This window comes from Homo sapiens, chromosome 4, assembly GCF_000001405.40.
Source record: "Homo sapiens chromosome 4, GRCh38.p14 Primary Assembly".
NCBI lineage: Eukaryota > Metazoa > Chordata > Mammalia > Primates > Hominidae > Homo > Homo sapiens.
Window position 1 is genome coordinate 36,280,727 of NC_000004.12, and position 16,701 is coordinate 36,297,427.

The 16,701-nt window shown below is 35.2% G+C and overlaps 1 protein-coding gene across 11 annotated transcripts in view; it reads left to right on the forward strand.

Moving 5' to 3' along the window:
• DTHD1 (death domain containing 1) overlaps nt 890–16,701 on the forward strand; it is a 65,896-nt gene continuing 50,084 nt past the window's right edge. For 2 of the 11 annotated variants that reach the window (XR_007057923.1, XM_011513693.3), the window contains exons 1-6: nt 890–1,303; nt 3,250–3,865; nt 9,647–9,977; nt 12,800–12,979; nt 14,069–14,313; nt 14,442–14,468. Coding sequence is in view for 8 of the 11 variants with exons in the window: in XM_011513693.3 (XP_011511995.1) it covers nt 1,033–1,303; nt 3,250–3,865; nt 9,647–9,977; nt 12,800–12,979; nt 14,069–14,313; nt 14,442–14,468 (1,670 nt within the window). In the remaining 3 variants the exon portion in view is untranslated. Of the gene's footprint in view, nt 1,304–3,249; nt 3,866–9,646; nt 9,978–12,799; nt 12,999–14,068; nt 14,314–14,441; nt 14,469–16,701 lie in introns of all 11 variants that reach the window. The other 9 variants (NM_001170700.3, XM_011513695.3, XM_047415676.1 and 6 more) reach the window with 7 other exon arrangements.

Below are 16,701 nucleotides of genomic sequence, written 5' to 3' on the forward strand. Positions count from 1 at the left end.
TGAGCCTCTCTGGAATGTACTTGCTGCCCTCTTCCTTTGGCTTAGGTGTGTGTTCTCTCTGAGCAGTGGGATTGGAGAGAGGGAGGCAGACTGTTCTGGTTTCCTCCAAATACCCGCAAGTGCTGCATTGCATAGCCCCATATATGATGCGCTGGCAGGCAGATGGGCAGCAGTGGGGAGAGCTTGTTGTATCTGAATTTTAATTACATATGGTAAAGAATCCTTGCTAGTTTAGAGAAAGCTACTCTTCAGGTTTACTTTCTTTCAGTGAAGGGGCATTTTATCCAATTAGAGGGAAATTATCAGAGGCCAAGTTCTTATCTCAGTCTCTGCAGATTTACCACATAAGAAGATGCTAATTATAACTTCCTAACCAATGCAATAGGCTCTGCTCCAGTAGAGGAATCTTTTTAAACTCTTGGTTATAAAAATACTATACATATACACATTAATTAGAGTGAATTGTCAAGACCCCATGTGTAAACATATCCAGCTTCAACATTTATTAATTCTTACAGCAAATTTTATACCTCTACCCACCCCTATGCTCCCTGATTATTTAGAAGCAAAATCAGACATCACATTATTTCATTCATAAATATTTTTAAGTTTACAGGAATCCTGCCAGCAATATTGTTCATACAGTTTACCTTTGATTAATAAACTTCTTACCCTACCTGGAATCTGTATTTTGTTGCCTCAAAACTTGAAAAGTATTTGGTACTTCCACAGTATATTGAATTTGTAAAACTTACACAGAGAGTTGGATCATGTGAGTCAGCTCTACCCCAGTGATTAATGTATTCTGTACACAGTAGCACCCATGGTACAGGAACGCCCCTTCTTCGGTCACCTAGTAACTTTTCACTAGTCAACACCAAACTGAATAACCACTATGTTGTGAGAAAGTGCTGGGCTAGCTGACTCGGATCATCTCCTAGAGTTTAGGAGAAATAACAATCACAAAGTTTGAATTTGCAAAACCTTTAGGCTTTGCTGGCAGGAGAGAAAATACCACTTTTGGATCATAAAATGGATATGGAATACATGGGCTCAGGTAAACTGGGCCAAATATTGAAGCAGATTTGGAGACAAAACCAGATGCTAAAGCAGGCACTCTTGGGTGATGACCTTTGTGAGGGGGCTGGTGGGGCCACTTGGATGGCCACTGTGGTCTTTCTGGGTCAGGAACTCAGCAGTGCCCTTCACCAGCTGCTGGAGCACACCTCAGGCACCCTGCGTTCCACCTGCCAGCAGCTGCATGTGCTGCTTGACAAAGAGAATCAATGTGTCTCGAGAAAAGGCAAGTATTCTTTTTTTTAGTTTATTCTTTCTCTAAGAAATATTGATTAGGGCAAGATCTGAGAGGGGCTATGAGTATACCAGATAGGCTAAGATAGAGTTTCTGTCCACAAGAGACTAACAATTTCAAAGGGGAAATAAGTTGAGACAAATGCACAATAATGCCAGGGACATTGGGGCCAGTCCCATTAGAAACACATGAATGAAGTGCTTTTGGACTTCAGAAGCAGTTTAAATCCCATCTGTAGGGTGGGGAATTGAGAAGTTTGCTAGAAAAATGTAGTATTTAAGCTGAAGCTTAAAGAGTGAATTGGATTTATGCAGCAGGAAAGAGAGAGTCGGTAATTTTAGTAGGATCCAAGACTTAGAGACAGGAAAATACAGGCCACTGAGGCAGAGCTAGTAGTTTGTTTTTTATATCAGAATATAGTATTCTATCTCTAGGGTCATTTGAGCTTAGCCTTATTGATTGCAAAATTACTGGGAAGACTGGAGTGGGTTGGGATAGGGAATTGGATCCCCATGCACTGGGGCTGGAGAGGGATTCTTGGGAATAGGTCCAGTTATGGATGTGGAAAAGTACAGTAAGGCAGGAAGAATGTGGAATCTGATGAATATAATCCTAGATAACAACAGTTACTCCAGATAAGCATATAGGTGGCATCATGAAATTCAACTCTAAATAATACAGTATCAAGATAAGTGGGCAGGTTCCATCTATGAGGAAATCCAGGGTAGATGATGTTAAGAAATTCAATCTAAAGGGCAAATAGTGGGCATCAGGGAAATCTGTCTAAAGGCAGCATGACTGAGAAGCCATCAGCTGCAGCCCACAATGAGACCTTTAGCCTCTGGAGGGAGTGGAACATGGTCTTTGGCAATATAACAAGCAAATATATATTCAGAAAAAAACAAGGACTTGGTTACCAGAATAGGAGTTAAAAATAAAGACAAGTTCTCAGGTATAAGACAAAAACAAAACAAAACAAAACACAAGTTGTCAGAACTGGATCCCAAAGAAAAGCCCTGACTGGTGAAGGGATGATTTGGTGATGGCTTTAAAAACACTAAGCTATGGGGCCTTAAATTACCTATTCTTTAGTTCAGAACTGAATTCTAAAGACTAGAGAGGTACTAAGCCTGCAAGAAGTCATCAGGTGACCTCAGTAGTGAGGAGAAGCAGGATGAACAAATAGGAGAGTGGGAAGAATGATGACGGAGTGAGAGATTATATAAGATTTGATCATGCTAAGAGTTTACTTCAGAGTGAAGAAGGTTGACCTGAGTTAGTAGGCTTTGAGTAGCCACTTCAGGTTCCAATCAGAGAATTGGTATGGTCAGAGCTATTCTCTGAAGGACTAATTTGAAAATTTCCAATGCTCACAAATTCATCAGGAGGAATAGTATAAACCTAATCCAATTCTTATAGCAGTAAACTAGGCTCCAAAACAAAGCATCTACATTGGCAGAAATAATGGAGGTATGGTGTTTCTGCCACCCAAGCCTCATCTGGAGTGTTCGCCTAATTTTCAGCCCAGCATTTTAAATGGATCATTGATAAACTATTGTACATCCAGTGGTAAAAGAAGAGTTCTCAAAATCATACCAAATGAAAAACAATTGAGGGAGATGTTGACTTCAGTTCTTATTGGGGGAGCAAGAGGTTATGACATTTGTCTTTAAATATTCGAAGTATCTTTATAAGCAAGAGGGATTAGATTTACTCTTTGCTACCATGTTAAAAATGGTTTGTTGTCAATCCTACAATTGTTAAAAGAGTGACAGTTATACAATTACTTCTCCTTCAGGAGTTTGGCTTAAATGCACAGTAAAGGTCTTTGTAGGTTTCTAAAATTATCTTGCCATGTTTCATTAGATGTCAGTGCAGAAACATAATTTGGTTTAGTTTTGTATTTATTCTTTGTGTGTCCATGTATGTGTGTGTAGAAATCATTACTTTCATAGACTGCCTCATAAAAATAACTGAACATTTGGGGAGCACTGCTGCACTTCTAAAGAAAGAAGAAAAGGAGATTTGTAATTTATGCGGCATGCATGATGAATGTACTCCACAGCAGACAATGTCCTCCATTCAAGATACCAAAGCAGCAGACATTGCTGCAAGAGGGGAACTAAATGTCATAGAAACAGCTACTGTTTCTCCCACAAATGGAGAGGAAAGTCATTACACAAACCAGGTCCAGTTAGAAAAAAATAAAACACATATGAGTTCAGCATTAGTGGAAAAAGAAAACAATACATCACTGAATGGACGTGTACTGGGGCAAGAAGAGTCACAGAATAAAATGTTCCCAGATAATGCAGAAAATGAAGATGATAAACAAATAGAACACATGACTGTTGAGAACATAAATGGCAACAGGGAAGAGACTCATGGCATAATTCAGACAACAGAGACAGAAATTCAAGAGACTTCAGAAAGCCCAAGAGAAGAGATGACCACATCCTCAATAATATGTGATATCTCCAAGAAATATATAAATAGTACTCTTCCCAATGATTCAGAGAATATAAAGCACAAGAATAACATAATGGAAAAGGAGTAAGTAAATGCAATGTGGGAAGTGCTTAAGTATGCCTACTTATATGTGTGTTTCTATAGTTAGTACATGTCTTAGTTCATTCAGGCTGCTACAACAAAACATCATAAAGTGAGTAGCTTTTAAACAACAGATATTTATCTCTCACAGTTCTGGAGGCTTGGAAATCCAAAATCAAGGTGCTAGCAGATTTGGTGTCTGGTGAGGGCTTTCTGGTTCATAGAAGGTGCCTTCTTGCTGTGTCCTCACATGGTGGAAAAAGTGAACAAGCTCCCTTGGGCCTGCTTTATAAAGACATTAATCTCATTCATGAGGGCTCCACCCTCATGACCTAATCATATCCCAAAAGGACCCACCTCCTAATACCATCACCTTGGGGGTCAGGATTTCAATGCATGAATTTTGAGGAGACACAAACAGTTAGACTATAGCAACATGCATAGTATTTCCATTTCATACCTCCCAAAGATATTGTAATCAGTAATTCAGCTTAAATCACTCCTATAAAAATTTATATGGCCACTATTATTAATATTGTTTATTTCTTATAGCTTTAAGAAACAAACACATTACATTTTTTTAAAGAGGAAGGAATTGAGTAGATACGAAAGTAGTTAAAATGAGCAATTGTCCAGATCATGAATACTTTGCAAATTACTACGAGTTCAAATATAATAAGAAAAACTAGAAGACTGTAGGGTGTTAGAAGATTTGGAGAGAATGTTTTAGCCTCAGATTCACTTTATTTATATTCTCAAGAAAATCATTATGAGTTTTAAACCCGTGTCTGTAGAACTCTAGGGATTTTATGGATGAGCTTTGGGAGGTACTTAAAATTGAATGTGTATGTTCAGACCTATTTCATTTCCTTGGATATGGTCTAGAACTGTCATCAGATTCTCTAGGAGACCATAACTTCAAAAAAGTGAGAAAGACCAATCTATTTTATAAATTTTCTCTCCTGTGCAAAGAGGTAATAAGGCCCTATTTGTCCGTATAAAATAAGATATTCACAGACCATATTTTCCCAGACAAACATAACACGCTTAGAAGTGAAAAAAAAAAATATGTGTTTTGGGCATCAGACAAACTTAAATTTCACTTTCTGTTTTATTACATACTAATTCTGTGACCCTGGGCAACTTGCTTCATTTCTCAGCCTAATTTACTTATTTGTAGAAATAATATATACATCCTGGGATTATTTGGTAAGGTCAAATGAGAAAATCACTTAAACGACCTAACACCAGGCCACTTTTTCAGATATTCACACCAGGTAAATGTTAGTCTATTCATTTATTTTAGCTCCAAAAACTCTCACTTTCTTCACCTGTCACTCACTACCATTGTTCCATTACCCCCATCTCTGCTTTGATGTACTGATGCTCTTTCAGGTGTATGATACCATTTTGAGGACTATGATCTTAGGCAAGTCATTTTGCTCACCTTGACCTTAGTTATCTCGCCCATAAAATGAAGAGGTGGTTCTAATTTGGCCGTAATGTTTCTACAGGTCAGAGTCTGATGAATTCTATGGTTGAGGATATTCAGTGCATGATAGATCCACATGATTTGTAAGAATTACCGCTCCAACAAAACAACTGCTAAAGTAGTCTATATGTGGTTACCTGTTTCACTTGAGAAAAACATTGAAGCTCCATATTCTCACATTCAGAAATGACTCAAAGCATCGGTTAATGAGTCATTGCCTGAACTACTCCCTCTAACACCTCCTTTAGGTGTTTCCTGGTTAGTGACTTCCTCTTTGCAGCACCCAAACCAATTGTGCTTGGCTTGTATATTTCAGAAGTTGAGTACTCATTGCAATCCCTCGGCCTAGGAAGCCATCATGCCACATAAAAGATGTGTGTGATAAACAAAACCTCACTCAGAATGTGTTGTCAATTCCCCCGTATAGCTTTCTGAAAGCAACCTATCTCTTCCTAGCTGTCCTGGTGTATACAAAAAGGGAAAATAAGGCTAGAGTAAACCAATGTGATTACAGTCATCGGTTACTTAATGATGGGGACATGTTCACAGAAATGGATGGTTGGGTGATTTTGTCAATTGTGCAAACACTGCAGAATGTGCATACACAAATCTAGATGGTATAGCCTACTGCACGCTTAGTCTACATGGTATAGCATATTGCTCCCAGGCCACAGACCTGTAAAGTATGTTACTATACGGAATACTTTAGGCAGCTAAAACACAATGCTAAGTATTTGTGTATTTAAACATATCTAAACATAGAAATGGTACAGCAATAATACAGTATTATAATTTTTAAGACCACCATTATATGTGCAGTCCATTTTTGACTGGTATGCCTTTATGTTCTATATACCTGTATTTTATTTTTAAAAGTTTTAATTTAAAAATTTTTCTTATTTTTTTTTATTTCAATAGGTTTTAGGGGAACAGGTGGTGTTTGGTTACACGAATAAGTTCTTTAGTGGTGATTTCTGAGATTTTGGTGCACCCATCACCTGAGCAGTGTACACTGTACCCAATGTGTAGTCTTTTATCCCTCACCTCCCTCCCACCCTTTCCCCAGAGTCCCCAAAGTCTATTGTATCATTTTTATGCCTTTGCATCCTCAGAGCTCAGCTCCCACTTGTAAGCGAGAAAATAAAATGTTTGTTTTTCCATTCCTGAGTAACTTCAGTTAGAGTAATGTTCTCCAATTCCATCCAGGTTGCTGTGAATGCCATTATTTCATTCCTCTTTATGGCTGAATAGTATTCCAGGGCATGATATAAATATGTATATGTAACAATTTCTTTATCCACTTGATTGATGGGCATTTGGGCTGGTTCCATATTTTTGCAATTGTGAATTGCGCTGCTATAAACATGAGTATCCATGTATCTTTTTCACATAATGACTTCTTTTCCTCTGAGTAGATACCCAGTAGTGGGATCGCTGGATTGAATGGTACTTCTACTTTTAGTTCTTTAAGGATTCTCCACACTGTTTTCCATAATGGTTTTACTAGTTTACATTCCCACACACAGTGTAAAAGTGTTCTCTTTTCACCACATCCACACCAACATCTTGTTTGTTTGTTTTTTGATTATGGCCATTCTTGCAGGAGTAAGGTGGTATTGCATAGTGATTTTGATTTGCATTTCCCTGATCATTAGTGATGTTGAGCATTTTTTCATATGTTTGTTGACCATTTGCATATCTTCTTTTGATAATTGTTTATACATGTCCTTAGTTCACTTTTTGATGGGATTGTTTGTTTTTTCTTCTGGATTTGTTTGAGTTTCTTGTTGATTCTGGATATTAGTCCTTTGTCGGATATATAGATTGAGAAGATTTTCTCCCACTCTGTTGGTTGTCTGTTTACTCTGCTGATTGTTTATGTTGCTGTGTAGAAGCTTTTTAGTCTAGTTAAGTCCTATATATTTTTGTTTTTGTTGCATTTGCTTTTGGGTTCTTGGTCATGAAGTCTTTGCTTAAGCCTATGTCTAGAAAGGTTTTTCTGATGTTATCTTTTTAAATTTATTTTATTTTATTTTGAGATGGAGTCTTGCTCTTTCGCCCAGGCTGGAGTGCAGTGGCACGATCTCAGCTCACTGCAACCTCCACCTCCCAGGTGCAAGCAATTCTCCTGTTCCAGTCTCCTAAGTAACTGGGACTACAGGCGCCCACCAGCATGCCAGCTAATTTTTACATCTTTAGTAGAGACAGGATTTCACCATATTGTTCAGGCTGGTCTTGAATTCTTGACCTCAGGTGATCCTTCCGCTTCGGTCTCCCAAAGTGCTGAGATTACAGGCGTGAGCCACTGTGCTGGGTCTCTGATGTTATCTTCTAGAACTTTTTTTGGTTTCAGGTCTGATTTTATGGTTTCAGGCCTTGATACATCTTGAGTTGATTTTTGTATAAGGTGAGAAACGAGGATGCAGTTTCATTCTTCCACATGTGGCTTGCCAATTATCCCAGCACCATTTGTTGAATAGGGTGTCCTTTCCTCAGTTTATATTTTTGTAAGCTTTGCTGAAGATCAGTTGGCTGTAAGTATTTGGCTTTATTTCAGGGTCCTCTTTTCTGTTCCACTGGTCTATGTGTCTATTTGTATACCAGTGCCATGCCACATAACTGTATTTTACTGTCTAGCCTAAATCTATTTGACTAGGGCTAAAGAGAATGGAACCATTTAAAAGTCACCTTGTTCTACTTCATCTGTCAGTTGAGAAACATAACTCCTGGAAGAAAAGTGTATTCAGATGGTTTCCAAGGCACAGAGGAGAGTCATTCCTAAAGTTATACAACGCTGGGTCACTGTATCCTCTATTAAACAATGTTTCTCATTTTCTGAATTATTTTTATCACCATCACCAAAGAATACTCAAGCAGAACAATGTGCTGAGTCACTTTCTATTCCTTCTAACTATGAGTTTAGAATTGTAAACATAAATCAATGACCCTCTCTGCAATTTCTACATATTTTTTGGATTTCTATGTTAAATTGTGCTTTAAAATTCTATTTACAAGTAATTGAAAAACGTCTAAAATCTGATTATTTTAGAGCTGGACATTAATGCTATGTTATATATAGATCCTCTTATTTCTCTTCAACATTTCCAGTATTTCAATCATTTCACTGGTATAAATGAGAAGTAGTAAAAAAAGAGGAACTCAAGTTGGTAATTTTAATGTAGAAAATCAGAATTTATTGAGCATACATCTTAGGCCAACACATTATTGTAAGTTTAAATGTTTTATCACATTCAATCTTCACACTGTTATGAATTAGATATTAGTTTCAATTTGTAATGAATAAAGTAACCAGCACTTTTGAATGATTTGAGGAATTATGATATTATATTAAAGAGTTTGGACTTTCACATTAAAGATAGATGGAGCCAATTATCTGGTCTAAAACTTACCATCTGTGGGATCTTTAAAAGAAAGTTAAATTTTCTGAGCCTCAGTGTTTTTATCTGTAAAATAATTATGTTAGTAGCACCTACCTAATACAATAGTTGTGAGAATAGTGTGTAACCTAAAAACTACTTAATAGAAAGCAGCAAAATATTAACTATTTTAATATTAATTATTAATGTGTAAGGTCAAGTAAATAGTGACTGATCTCAAATCTGAATTCAAATCTATAACTCTATAATCCTTGGCAAATTTGATGGTTAAAAAAGAGTAAAATGAATGATCAAAATAAAATTTTGGATTGATTTTTTTGGGGATTATAAGTAATCTTTGCCTAATTACTATGATTAATGATAAATTTACAGTTCTTTTGTATCTTTCTCAGCTTTTCTAAAAATATATAATCATCATCATCATTTGATCTAGTGTGTTTAGACAATTCTAATACTTCATATATGTTTACTCCCTCTCCTCACAATTGAGGAAATTATTCAAGTATTAGTACTGATTTTACCAAGAAACTTCAGCAATCTTCAGCTTCTTATTGTGGAATAATCAATTGCTTAAATAACAATAGTAACAAAAGTAATTATAGCTAATATATATAACAACTATGGTGTACCAGACATAGCTCTAATTACTTAACATGTAATGGTTCATTTAATTCAATTCATACTCCCGTGAGATAGGTATTATGTTATCACCATTTTACCATTGAGGAAACTGAGGCACAGAGAGGCTGAGGATCTTGCCCAAGGTCACAGAGTTGATCAGAACTGGAATTCACACCAAGACAATGTAGATCTAGAGTCTGTGCTTTTCTGCATTTAGCTGTAAAGTACATAAATCAAATAATTGGAAAAATGACATTCTTTTTCCCCCTCCAGGTATCTTGATGTGCTGAGTGATGTTACTGGCCCCCAAGTGTCTTGTTATATTACAGCACCATCATATGTTCTACAACAACTAGAATGCCGGATAATAAATCACATGAGTTCTTTAATAGTGGGTGATAATGAAGAGTTAGTTAGCAACGTCATAACTATTGAATGCTCAGATAAGGAAAAGAGAGTTCCATTTCCAATAGGCATTGCAATTCCATTTACTGCACGTTACAGAGGAAATTACAGAGATATCATGGTGAAAGTGTGTGACATAAACCTTCAATCAAGTTACCTAAACCCAAATTCACTAGAAGGAATGAAGGGAGGTTATAAGGTTAGTAAATTCTTGGCTATATCTACATTTGCTGTTTGGCTCCTCTTATAAATATCACTCAGACTAACAGATTGTAGTGTAGATATAATTGCTCCACTAGTAATAAATGGAAGGACTTTTGAATTTGTGCCAGTGCGTTCACAGTTTATTGCCATCCATAAAGATCAAAGGATGGAAATGATTAGCCAAAGTTAGGAATGGAGAGCTTGGGTCGAACACCTACCAAATGTTATTTTTTTCACCTAGGAAACAAAACCAAAATCATGGCTTAATTACTTTTGTGCTTTAGACTAACTTCAGACCAACATTTCTAATATGATGGACCCTTGTCTAAATTTAAGAATGTTAGAATCTCCAGATGATAGTAGCTTTAATTTTTATTATCCACGGGTTGGGAAAATAGATAAAAAATTTAAAAATTTGTGTATGTGTTTGTGTATGCCTTGAGATTGTTAGTAAGTCTAGAAATGAAATTTAGTCTACACATGGGAGAAAGTATATGTGGTAGTTAAGATGTGGGCTGTGGAAGAAGACTGGTTAGGTTTGAAATACGGTTTTTACACTTTCTTGCTGTGTGAACTTGGGAAAATTATGTAAACTTGCTGTGACTCAGTTACTTCATCTGAGAGATAAACATGATAATAGTGTCTACCTGGTATGGTTGTAAGAATTAAATAGATAATAAACTTATGAAGAGAGACGGAAGCCTATAAACACATGTTAGTTGTTAATAAATTATCATTTTCATGTCAAATTTTAATTGTAATAACTCTGAGGCTCTGTATGATCACAAATTCATATGCTGTGAAGAGAGAATATAACAACTATTAAATTTAGTATGGAGGCCAGGCGTGGTGGCTTAGGCCTGTAATCTCAGCGCTTTGGGAGGCCAAGGTGGGCGAATCACCTGAGGTTGGGAGTTCAAGACCAGCCTGACTAACATGGAGAAACCCCGTCTCTACTAAAAATACAAAATTAGCTGGGCCTGGTAGTGCATGTCTATAATCCCAGCTACTGGGGAGGCTGAGGCAGGAGAATCGCTTGAACCCGGGAAGCGGAGGGTGCGGTGAGCCGAGATCGCACCCCTGCACTCCAGCCTGGGCAATAAGAGTGAAACTCTGTCTCAAAACAATAAAAATAATAAATTTAGTATGGAGTTTATGGAGACTAATACTTAAAGTTTTTCTTTGGGCCACTGAACTTCTTTTTAAGCAATTAAAATATTTATCTTTTTCAGCTTTATGTAAGTTGTCGTTTGATGAGACAGGCAGGGAATAAATGTAAAAAAATTCATATATACATGGAATTATTTATTATATATTTATTTTGTGATTTTGATTTTTTCTGGGTTACAAATAAGGTTTTATAGTTGAGTATGAAAGCTAAGCCTATTACATTTACTTATTTCAGTTCCTGCAACTAATACATTTTATATTTAGTATCAGAAGTTTATAGGTATGATAGTCTAGTCAGCATTGCCCTTGACTGGGGCTCTTAAGTTTTGGCCAGTCTGTGTAACTATCACAATACAAGCAAAAACTGCTTGTAGCCCACTTGTCACAAAATGGGTTTGGAAGATGTTCAGTAAATGGATAATTAAAGCAAAAAAGAGAGAGAGAGAGGAAGAGAAAGAGAAAGAGAGAGCGAGGGAATCATTGTCTATCATAACAAATACAGGCGTGAATTTTTCTCTTTATAGTAAGAAAAACATTTTAAACTTTGGATTACTTCCAAATTTTTATGTGGATCGTATGACATTATAAAATTCTAATTATTTAAAAACCCTTTTGGCCTTTCAGTATCTATCAAATATGATTGAAGTGCACAGCAACCACTGTTGGTTTCTAGAAGATCTTTCTTTTTCACCTCTCACAATTTTCCCTCTGGCCGGTTAACAATATTCACCATGCCCTGAATTTTCCCAGAGACAGATTCATTCAGCGATATTGTGAAATCTCTTCCTTAGTCAGCTTTCAAATGGTAGACTATTTTCCATTGTGATTGTCCCTGAAATGTTTTTTCGTGTATGTGAGCATGATTATCCACGCATGCTGGGGCAGAGCCCGGCTGCTGATTGGGGAAGTATGAATAGACCAAATTACTTCTAAGTCTGCCTCCTCATTTTAAGCTTTGGTGATTATAGGAGAAGATCATTTTGTTTTCATTTATGTACGCAGTTCCCTTTTGTGCAATAAAAAACCTTGAGTATGTGTCTGTATATATGCATTACAAATTTGAATGTCATTGTATAAAAAGAAACACAAATATCTTAGTCATTTGCTCCCACTGCACAGAGGAGAGGCAAAGAGAAAATGACTTTATTTGGGGAACCTAAGATACTGTGAGCTATTAGAAGAAAGAATTTGCTGACAGCACAGGTGTTACAGTGTTTGAGCAAACTACACAAATAATGGAATTCCAGTCCTTAGGATTCCCTAGAACAGTGTTGAATGTTTTGGATAAAGGTCAATATTTAAAATCGATTCTCGCTAATGGAGGCTAGAATTCTAGGAACAATCATATTTGTGAAAACACTGAAAATAATTGCCCATTATTCACACAATTTTGGGGAAGATTTAATTTAAATATAAGAAGTATGTTTATTTCTGTTTTTTATTGTGTAGTCTAAATTTGAGAAACTCTTATCTATTTCTACTTAATCTCATATAATGACCATCCATTTTAGGTTATTGGAATCATTTTAAGTTGTAGGTGATTAAATAAAGAGTGTATAGATTTTTTTGACAATCCATAGAGTCTATACAGCAAATATTTTTCAAATCAGTGCTATAGCTTATTTTAATGTTCTTTATTCTATACAGGGGACCTGTGCTTCAGTAAAAGTTTACAAATTGGGTATCTTTTCTGTTGTGTCTTGTTTAAAGAAAGAGTCGTTCACAGTAACAAAGAAAGGCCTCGCTCTTAAGTCAAGCATGGATTCCCGAATATCCTTAAATTACCCTCCAGGAGTTTTTACCTCTCCAGTGCTGGTGCAGTTAAAGGTAAACATATTAAAAATAGGTGAGTTCCTGCTCATAGATTTTGTGGGTCATCAAGCATGGTTCTAAACAACAAAGAAGGTATCAATATTTAATATAACAAAAAATGGATTATTTTCTTGTAGTTGTAACGGCCTAATATATAGTGATATCAGCAATAATGTAATGATTTTGAGCATATTAAATCTCATTAAAAATAAATCTTCTCTTTATTCGAAAGATTTTCCCAGTTAGTCTTTTGTGTTGTGTTGTTTTCTTTATGATATTTATTGGGAAAATTTATGTTGCATGGCTATGAAAGAATTGACAACAGACTTTGGAACATACATATAATTCAAAGATTTTGATCAGCGAGGATGACAAAAAAGAGGACAATCAATTAAAATATTTATTATAATAAATATTTTGTTATATTTAATTATGAAACAGCCATTTTCTGGGAGTAAGGATTTAATATACGCAAACACTATTTGCAAAGGGCATGTAAATGTATATTTTACAAGATTTATTTCCTCAAATAATATTCCCTGTTCGTCTACCCTCATTCCCCTCCCATGCTCTCCTCTCTATTTCTCCCAGTTGTTAATGTAAGTGGTAAGTGAAGAAGAACGATTAGGAAGAAAACATATAATAAATATCTTATTTATAGATATTTTCCACGCACTTTGAAATGTTGGAATCATCTTAGCTATTTTTTATTTTTAACCATTCTTATGTGAAAAGAAACAAGTCATGTTTTTCTAGTTTCTAAAGATCACTTGATCTAACAATTTCTAATTAGAAATCATTATAAAACATCTATTTTGTTTTCTAGGTCATTTTGTTGCCTGCAATTAAGTCTGTTTCTTAGTTATTTATAACATAAGACAGGGAACCCAGATTTCAGAAGGACTTTGTAAAAAGGGCCCTAATACTGTGTTCTTTTATATATTATAAATATTTTATAAAATGCATTGTTGATTACAACTAACAATACATAGAGAAATGTATAAAACTATGCTGCATAGAATTTTCAAAAAACTGGATTAGAAATGTACCAATAGTTTGCATCTTTTCTATTAAAACATAAGAAAAAATATATTTTTTGTTTAGATCCAACCAGTTGACCCAGCTCTGGTGGCACATTTAAAAGCACAGCAAGATACTTTCTACTCAGTCCAATCCACAAGCCCTCTGATTCACATTCAGCACCCATCAACTTATCCTTTTCAGAAGCCAGTCACTTTGTTTTTACCTTGTTCTCCATACCTTGATAAAAACAACCTTGGTTCTGAGATAGATCATAAAAGAAGAGCAAGTGCCACAATAAATAGGATTACACCTTCGTATTTCAACCGGTGAGTAAGTTTCTAATATTGTAAACTGGCTTAATGTCAAACAAAGAAGCTTAGATGATTAAAACTTGCAGTCAAATGCCTTGTATTTAAATTCTGTATTAAAATATTATGAAATATCTTTAATCTAGAAAGAAGATATTGTGGATCCACAAAAGGTAATAATTTTAGCTGTTATGGATCCCAAAATTCCTGCAAGTATAAAGATAAAGATGGAGACAATAAGAACTCTAGCAGAAATGCATGCTGGGTGGTGCATTTTGAAACCTTCAATCTATTCAAAGCGCTGGAAATTTAGTCAGCACAGGTAGGAGAAAGACATACCTTAGTCCAGAGGAATTACACTCAGTAAAAATAGCTAGATGCTGACAATTGAATCAGATATTATGCAAAGGGATCTCGTCTCTAGAGTCAAGAAAGAGATTCAAATAGTTACCAAACTATAAAAGGTGGATGAGCATTCATTCAAGGGTAAGAAAAAAACCAAAATCCTACATGGTGTTTTAAGAAAAACAAATCAATACCAAGATTTCTAAAGAATATATATTAAAAAAAACTTGTAGAAATACAAAGGAAGAGAGAGAGAGCATCATCCTGATATTTCACAGTCATTTGAATAATGAGAATTACAGTTACCTGGAGAATATTAAAGAAACCTATTTTATAAGTTTAGTTGTAGCCAGTAAACATAATTGCCAAGAAACACTAGCAGAAAATCATCAGAATAGATGAAGAAAAGATGAAAGGACAAAAGGATGTGGCATAAAGATAACAAGCTGAGATGAAAAGGGACCAAAATATGATAAGGAGTCATTTCAAAGTGCTGCAAACTAATAATTATAGGTACCATTGAAGAAGAGGGCAAGCAATCATAAAAAAAGAAACAATCAAAGGCCTAGGTGAATTTGATTTTTTGATGTTGATTAAAGCCTTGAGTTAAAAGTGCTGATTGGTTACTAGAAAATATTTATGAAAAAAGACCCATACTTAGACATAACATGGCAAACTGAAATGTAGGTTTAAATAAAACATAATTCCATAAGCATCCATTAACCAGAAACCGATTATGTAAAAAAGGAATGAAATCAATCTGGTATCAGTTTTATTCTTTGCAGCACTAATATCAGGAAATAGAAATGGACCAAAATCTTCAAAGTTCTCAAGTTCTCAAAGGGCAAGATTGGGGAATCAGGGTTTTCATCCTACAAACAAGTCATTTTGTTTTTGTTTTGTTTTGTTTTTAAATACAAGGGCTCTCAGAATGGACTACTCACATGCTCTTATCTACAAAATAAGTAGATAAAATTAATAGGCTGACTTAATAAGATTCAAGATATCGAGAACAAGCAAGTATTATTCTTATTTTTAAAATTTGATATTGAGCATAAATAATACAAAAGCAAAAAAAATCAAAAGTAAAAATTTATATGAAAGAGAGATAATGGAAAGAAAACAGACAAACAAAACATCAGCATGGTGATATGTGTCTACTTTTAAGAGCGAGTGTAAGCAAGATAATATAAGTAAAATAATCTGTTATGACAATAAATATAAATGAGTTAAACATAATTTATATTATTGTCCATATTTCATAATCTTCCTTTGATATTTTTAAATACTTTATATGATGTGCTTGGGTAATTTCCTTAGGTTTATTATACACATTATTAATTTATTATCATTTGTTTAAATTGTTCATTTTATTCACTATAATTAACATTTCTAAAAGCTTAGTGCTTTTTCCAATCTGCTTCATTGTTTTACTATGCTTTATATAGTTGATCCTTGAGCAATGCAGGGGGATTAGGGGTGCCAACCACCAAGAAGTTGAAAATGTGCGTATAACTTTTGACTCCTCGAAAACCGAACTGCTTATAGCCTACGGTTGACCAGGAGAAAAGCCTTACCAATGATATAAACAGTCTATTAACACATATTTTGTAAGGTATATGTACTATATACTGCTTCTTATAATAAAATAAGCTAGAGAAAAGAAAACGTTATTAAGAAAATCATAAGGAAGAGAAAATATATTTACTATTCATTAAGTGGAAGTGGATAATCATCAAGGTTTTTATCCCTGTCATCTTCATGTTGAGTAGGCTGAGGAGGAGGAAGAGGAGGGGTTGGTCTTGCTGTCTCAGGAGTGGCAGAGGAGCAAGAAAATCTGTGCACAAGCACACCTACAGAATTCAAACCTATGTTGTTCAAGGGCCAACTGTATTTCTTCCTTTATTCCTTTAATTATTTAAGCATACTTATTTTATGGTCTTTTTTAGATTGATTATTCCATCATCTATCTATTAACATGATGTATAACACCATATCATCTATCTAGGAGTACAGCGTAATCTTGCAGAATTTCATACTGATTCTGTTCTATGGCTCTTG